Raw genomic sequence first — 7,730 nt, 5'->3', positions numbered from 1 at the left:
TTGGTTTCTCTTCTTTCCCATTTCAGTATTTAAAAATAGTCCTCCCAGTAAGCAGAAAGCAAGGCATCTGGTCTCTTCTAGACTAAGGCAATTTAGACCTAGCTGGGTAGGGAATAAGAACTGTGCGACTTCTTTGGGCCCTAAGTCCCATAGAGCCCAGCTATAGGTTCAGCCAGAGAGGTCAGTGACAAGGAAGGAGCGGGGAAAAGGAAAAGTTGGAAAAGAAGACTAAATGCAACAGAACTTTTAGTAAATTTATTGAAGGTTTGGAAAGAGGAGAGATGAAGAGAGGGAACAGTGATACACTGTGAATGTGACATTCAATTTTGAGCATAATTATATTTTTTAAAAAAACTATTTCTCAGTAAATGCTTATAATATACCAACCAGATGGTATTTTTTGCTTTTTAAGATTTTTAACCTTTAAATTTATGCTGGATTGATGAGGAGTTATTTGAATTTTAATAATCCAGATTTACAACAGAAAATTATTGTCAATATAGGTTGGGGTACCTGCCTACTCACGTACATTTCTGGGGGAGTGTCCCTTCCCCTCACACAATCCCTTCCAACCCAGGTGGTGTGTTTTCAACCACATGACCCTGCCTTAATTGTTTTCCCACATTTCATTGGATGGAAATTCAGAAGAACCCCAAGTTCAGCCAATCCATAATCATTGTCTATAGCTCTGGTTTAAAATAATAATAAAAAAGAAAGTTGGAGCAATCAGACTTTGAGTCTATTTTATTGTTTCCTTTTCAAGTAACCAATTTTTGGCCATACTGATTTCAATTATGATATAGTTTCTCTAATTTCTGCTCTTTTAAAAAGTCATCTCATTACTTTCATTTTCTTTGGATCAATTCTTTTTGTTTTTCTCTACGGTCTTAACCTTGACAATGAGCTCATTAAATTTTAACCTTTCTTCTTTTTTAAGAGTTTAAAGCTATTTATTTCTCTAAGTGCTGTTGAACTATATTCTACAAGTTTCATTATATATAATTTTCATTCAGTTCTAGGTATTTTCTAATTCTCCTTACTATATATTCTTTAATAAATTTATTATCTAAAAGTATAATTTAAATGTTCCAAGCATATTTCTAATGTGTTTTTTAATTATTCCTTGATTTTGTTATAGACACCACTATAACCCATATGATATTGGATGTGGTCAAACATTTATGAATATTTATGAATCTCCATGTATGTGTGTTTAAGAAGGATATATATATTCTCGAAAAGTTGGGTAAATCTTTCTTTTGTTATTTTTATTTTTATTTTTTGAGACGGAGTCTCGCTTTGTTGCCCAGGCTGGAGTGCAGTGGCACAATCTCGGCTCACTGCAAGCTCTGCCTCCTGGGTTCATGCCATTCTCCTGCCTCAACCTCCAGAGTAGCTGGGACTACAGGTGCCCGCAACCACTCCCAGGTAATTTTTTTGTATTTTTAGTAGAGACGGGGTTTCACCATGTTAGCCAGGATGATCTCCTGACCTCATGATCCGCCCGCCTCGGCCTCCCAAAGTGCTGGGATTACAGGCGTAAGCCACCGCGCCCGGCAGCTTTCTAATTATATCTATTAAATAAAACATTTTTTCTAGCTTGTAAACTATTGGAGAATGTTTATTCTTCTAAGTTGTGAGAGTCGTGTCACCTGTAAATTCTTTTCACTTCTCATAGTTGTGTTTCTCTATGTGTTTTCCTGGAGTAACTAAATCAGAATACCCAGGGTGCTTCATAAATAGGCAAATAGATGGGAACTCCCCTCCCGCCCCCTAGAGATTCTGATTTGATAGGTCTAAGGTTCTAGGACCAGGAATCTGCATTTTAAGACAATTTATAAAGTTCGAGAATCAATGTTATAAACTAGTCCCCTGGAAGAGATTATGTAATATTGTTAAACCCTAATGTTTTCCTTGTTTAATCAGAAAATCTTTTTTGTTTATCAAGTCAGTAAGATTTTGTTCCTCAAAGAATACTTGCTTAGATATATTAAAGATGTTTAAAGACAGTGATAATTATCAAATGAACCAGGAGAATGTAATTTCCTGTGGCATATAACAGGGTCAGAATCTTTTTTCTTCTTTTTTATACTCTAAGTTCTAGAGTACATGTCCACAACATGCAGGTTTGTTACATATGTATACATGTGCCATGTTGGTGTACTGCACCCATTAACTCATCATTTACATTAGGTATATCCTAATGCTATCCCTCCCCCTTGCCCCCACCCCACGACAGGCCCTGGTGTGTGATGTTCCCCTTCCTGCGTCCAAGTGTTCTCATTGTTCAATTCCCACCTATGAGTGAGAACATGCGGTGTTTGGTTTTTTTGTCCTTGCAATAGTTTGCTCAGAATGATGGTTTCCAGCTTCATCCATGTCCCTACAAAGGACATGAACTCATCCTTTTCAATGGCTGCATAGTATTCCATGATGTATATGTGCCACATTTTCTTAATCCAGTCTATCACTGATGGACATGTGGGTTGGTTCCAAGTCTTTGCTATTGTGAATAGTGCCACAATAAACATACATGTGCATGTGTCTTTATAGCAGCATGATTTATAATCCTTTGGTATATACCCAGTAATGGGATGGCTGGGTCAAATGGTATTTCTAGTTCTAGATCCTTGAGGAATCACCACACTGACTTCCACAATGGTTGAACTAGTTTACAGTCCCACCAACAGTGTAAAAGTGTTCCTATTTCTCCACATCCTCTCCAGCACCTGTTCTTTCCTGACTTTTTAATAATCGCCATTCTAACTGGCGTGAGATGGTATCTCATTGTGGTTTTGATTTGCATTTCTCTAATGACCAGTGATGATGAGCATTTTTTTGTGTGTCTGTTGGCTGCATAAATGTCTTCTTTTGAGAAGTGTCTGTTCATGTCCTTCGCCCACTTTGGGATGGGGTTGTTTGTTTTTATCTTGTACATTTGTTTAAGTTCTTTGTAGATTCTGGATATTAGCCCTTTGTCAGATGAGTAGATCGCAAACATTTTCTCCCATTCTGTAAGTTGCCTATTCACTCTGATGATAGTTTCTTTTGCTGTGCAGAAGCTCTTTAGTTTAATTAGATCCCATTTGTCAATTTTGGCTTTTGTTGCCATTGCTTTTGGTGTTTTAGTCATGAAGTCCTTGCCCATGCCTATCTCCTGAACGGTATTGCCTAGGTTTTCTTCTAGGGTTTTTATGGTTTTAGGTCTAACATTTGAGTCTTTAATCCATCTTGAATTAATTTTTGTATAAGGTGTAAGGAAGGGATCCAGTTTCAGCTTTCTACATATGGCTAGCCAGTTTTCCCAGCACCATTTATTAAATAGGGAATCCTTTCCCCATTTCTTGTTTTTGTCAGGTTTGTCAAAGATCAGATATTTGAAGATATGTGGCATTATTTCTGAGGGCTCTGTTCTGTTCCATTGGTCTATATCTCTGTTTTGGTAGCAGTACCATGCTGTTTTGGTTACTGTAGCCTTGTAGTATAGTTTGAAGTCAGGTAGCTTGATGCCTCCAGCTTTGTTCTTTTGGCTTAGGATTGTCTTGGCAATGTGGGCTCTTTTTTGGTTCCATATAAACTTTAAAGTAGTTTTTTCCAATTCTGTGAAGAAAGTCATTGGTAGCTTGATGAGGATGGCACTGAATCTATAAATTACCTTGGGCAGTATGGCCATTTTCACGATATTGATTCTTCCTATCCATGAGCATGGAATGTTCTTCCATTTGTTTATGTCCTCTTTTATTTCACTGAGCAGTGGTTTGTGGTTCTCCTTGAAGAGGTCCTTCACATCCCTTGTAAGTTGGATTCCTAGGTATTTTATTCTCTTTGAAGCAATTGTGAATGGGAGTTCACTAAGTGAAGGAGAAATAAAATCCTTTGTAGACAAGCAAATGCAGAGAGATTTTGTCACCACCAGGCCTGCCCTACCAGAGCTCCTGAAGGAAGCACTAAACATGGACAGGAACAACCAGTACCAGCCACTGCAATAACATGCCAAAGTGTAAAGACCATCAATGCTAGGAATAAACTGCATCAACTAATGAGCAAAATAACCAGCTAACATCATAATGACAGGATCAAATTCACACATAACAATATTAACCTTAAATGTAAATTGGCTAAATGCTCCAATTAAAAGACACAAACAGGGTCAGAATCTTAACCCTTTCAGTATGATTTAGGAGTTATTTCTTTTAGTTCAATGTAATTTTTTCTTTCTAACTGAAAGTGTCTTATTTTAATATAGTGACAAAAATGCTGATTTAAAAATTTATAATAATTCATTTGAATTCAAATTAATTTTACTCTAGATCATGGCATTTGGTATTATAATATTCTTTAATAATTTTGTATCCATTGGTCTTATCTCCTTAAATAAAATGTATATTCTTTGAGATTAAGAGCTAACTTTTATGCATATTGATATATTTATTTCATCATCTAGTATGATGTGAGCAGGTATTAGAGGTAGTGAATAATGTTTTTATTTTTATTATTTTATTTTTTTGAAACAGGGTCTTGCTCTGTCACCCATGCTAGATCACAGCTTGCTGCAGCCTCAACCACTCAGGTTCAAGCGATCCTCTCACTCCAGTCCTTTGAGTAGCTGCTACAGGTGTGCACCACCACAGCCAGCTAATTTTTGTATTTTTCTGTACATACGGGGTCTCACTATTTTGCCAAGGCTGGACTGGAACTCCTGGGCTCAAGCAATCTCACCGCCTCGGCCTCCCAAAGTGCTGGGATTACAGGTGTGGGCTGCCACACCTGGTCTTGAATAATGTTTTAAAATGGATAGTTTTCAAAAGTTATGTGTTTTTTCTTTGTATGTATTTTTACATATTTTTTCAGGTAAATTAATTTCAAGGTCTTGAAAAATAGTATCTACTTCAAAAGTAATAGGTAAGCTTTTTTTATATCAAAAATAAGTAATAATATATTTTATTATATAACATATAGATAAAGCATTCCAGAAATCATAGCAGACAACAATAGCTAAATAAAATGTCTACGTGAATAACCTTCCATACTTTAGAGAGGAGGATTCAAAGTTAATACGATTTTAAATGAGTATGGCTGTTCAAGAACTGTATTTTCTAGGCAACAAACAATATATGATGCAGCATTTTATGACAATCACTTAAATATATCAGTGCAAAAAAAAAATCATGCCAGAAAACAATACATAGAATCAAAGAAAGAGTTCTCCCACTCTAGGATGAATAATGGTGCTAAGTAAAAATAGATGTCTAGATTCCTATTCAAATGAAATAAAAACAAAGTGAGATATCCACAAATAAGTTAATAAAATGTGTATATAACAGTTTAGTGTTGTGATGTTTCTTTATTACAAATAAGTTCTTCAAGAATTATTCATTAGCTTTTTTCTTTTTCTTTTTTCTTTTTTTTTTTTTTGAGACGGAGTCTCGCTCTGTGGCCCAGGCTGGAGTGCAGTGGCGCAATCTTGGCTCACTGCAAGCTCCGCCTCCCGGGTTCACGCCATTCTCCTGCCTCAGCCTCCCGAGTAGCTGGGACTACAGGCGCCCGTCATCACGCCTGGCTAATTTTTTTGTATTTTTAGTAGAGACGGGGTTTCACCGTGTTAGCCAGGATGGTCTCGATCTCCTGACCTCGTGATCCGCCCGCCTCGGCCTCCCAAAGTGCTGGGATTACATAGCTTTTTTATTTTTCAAATACTCTTTTAAAATATTTTTTCTACATTTCATTTATAAGGCAACTTAATTATTTTTATAATTGAGAATAAGCTCTAAAATACTACCACTTGGTGTACATTCATTTTTATTACAAATGATTAATAAATACACCTTTGTTAATATAGCTATTGAGAAATAAACTGCTTATGTTTTGGATTCATTATTATAACACAAACAGAACTCCAGATGAGAGATTATGTGTCAATAGGGAAACAGTAGTTGGAAGTAGTAATGGAGAGAGTCTGGTGGTATTTTGTTTTGCCTTTTCTTACTTTTAGTAACTACTCAGAGTTCCATTTAATGCTTAATTTTCCTTTTTTTCTTGATTTTCCTTTAGGTATGCATTTTTAAATTTGTATTTTCACAATCTCCATTGCTGCAGCATTAGTTTTCATTCTGTGAGATAATTGAAAGAAAAATACAGTAAATGCATTGACACACTGTAATAATAATAACATTTGTAACTACTTTACTGTACAAAGTGCTTCTTCTTTTTAATTCATTTGGTCATAATAACAGATCTGTGAACACTAACTTTCATTTATTTTTGAGCAATGATTCAGAGAGATTTAATAGTTCAGACTGGCTTGCTTGATAGCAAAAGGATCTTCATGTTCCAAGATTTTTGTCCACATAGTAATACAAGCACATCAAATACGGACCAGAAAAATACATTTCATAGAACAAATGCTAATAAGAATACAAAAGCAAGTAAAAGACGAAACTAAATTAATTCCACTTGTGGAACAAGAAAGACGTGCATTTGGAGGTCTGGAAATTGGTCTCACCAAACAATGTGTGAGCAGATCTTATATCTATCACGTTGGTTAAATGAACAGAGTTTTGATATGTTCTAAAGCAAGTGGAAAGATTGTGACTAGCTCTATCAGAGGAGAAAAAGCATTCTGTGGCTCCCACACTGAAGCGGGCTGCATCACCATGCTCAGCATTCTGATCCATCCAAGAGTACAGCTCGTTTATTCTGATCTGATAGTCACTGATAGGGCTTTAAACACGAAGTCCTTAAGGCCTATTATTTTAAAATACAAGGCTTTTCAATACCAGGTCCTTGATGCTGATATGATTGAGCAGAGCGAGGTTTATGAGTGTGCTAACCTTGAAACTTATTAACCTCAGCAGCTTTTACAGATTTGCATAGCAAACTCATGTGCCAATACAATCTTTGCTTTAAGTGCAGTAAGTTTATCAGGATATTAAGAAACCACCGAGTACACTATTAAAGAATCAACATCTAATAATAACAACTCAGAAAACCAGGTTACATTTTGTTTCTCAGTTTGTAAATGAGAAGAATAGATTATGCCCAGTTGCATGCTTGAATCTACTGTTATCCTTTGATTTTACCTAGCAATATTGGACCTGCATAGCAATGGAGTTGCAATAAGCTATTTGGAGAACACTCTAAATTGTGTCTAAATTGTGAACATAGTGAAATCCATATCTAATCAACCCACTTGGAAATTATTCACCATTTCCCTGTTTCCTAGAGACAGTTCTGAAATGGGACACTTTAAAAGCACTCTTCTCATAGCTATAGCTGAACTTTAGCTACAGATAGGTGAACCAAAGAAGCTCCAGAATTAAATGGTGCTGCACAATGTAGCCTGGGAAGGACTAAGCTTGTAAGTTCAAGCTGACATCTGCAGAACATGTTTACACTTTTCCTGTCATAACATGGCACTAAGGACACATTCTTATATTATAAGCCCCTTTATGTAAATGCTTCTTTAGGTTGAAAGATGTCATTTGGCTAAATATTGGTCACACTTGGCATCCATTTTGAAAATCGCATCATCTTTAAATGCATCAAATTCAGTATCTGAGAAAAGTAACTGTGGAAAAGAATTTAAAACTTCATTCTCACCACAAAATGCAGTTTGTAATGGGAAGTTTCATGACTAACTTTACTTTGTCATTATCTACATTAAGTGGGTTTGGAAATGTTATGCAGACATGAAAATAGAGATTAAGCTTTAAGAATGTCTTATAACTAAG

The 7,730-nt window shown here is 35.9% G+C and overlaps 1 long non-coding RNA gene across 1 annotated transcript in view; it reads right to left on the bottom strand.

Moving 5' to 3' along the window:
* Positions 1-5,871: 5,871 nt before the first annotated feature.
* Positions 5,872-7,730, bottom strand: part of LOC105375856 (uncharacterized) — a 103,037-nt gene continuing 101,178 nt past the window's right edge. Inside the window, exon 3 of the long non-coding RNA XR_928921.2 lies at positions 5,872-6,110. This is a non-coding gene — a long non-coding RNA (uncharacterized LOC105375856). The remainder of the gene's footprint in view (positions 6,111-7,730) is intronic.

The sequence above is a fragment of the Homo sapiens genome, chromosome 8 (genome assembly GCF_000001405.40).
Source record: "Homo sapiens chromosome 8, GRCh38.p14 Primary Assembly".
NCBI classification, from domain to species: Eukaryota; Metazoa; Chordata; class Mammalia; order Primates; family Hominidae; genus Homo; species Homo sapiens.
This window is presented reverse-complemented; position numbering and strand designations above follow the sequence as displayed.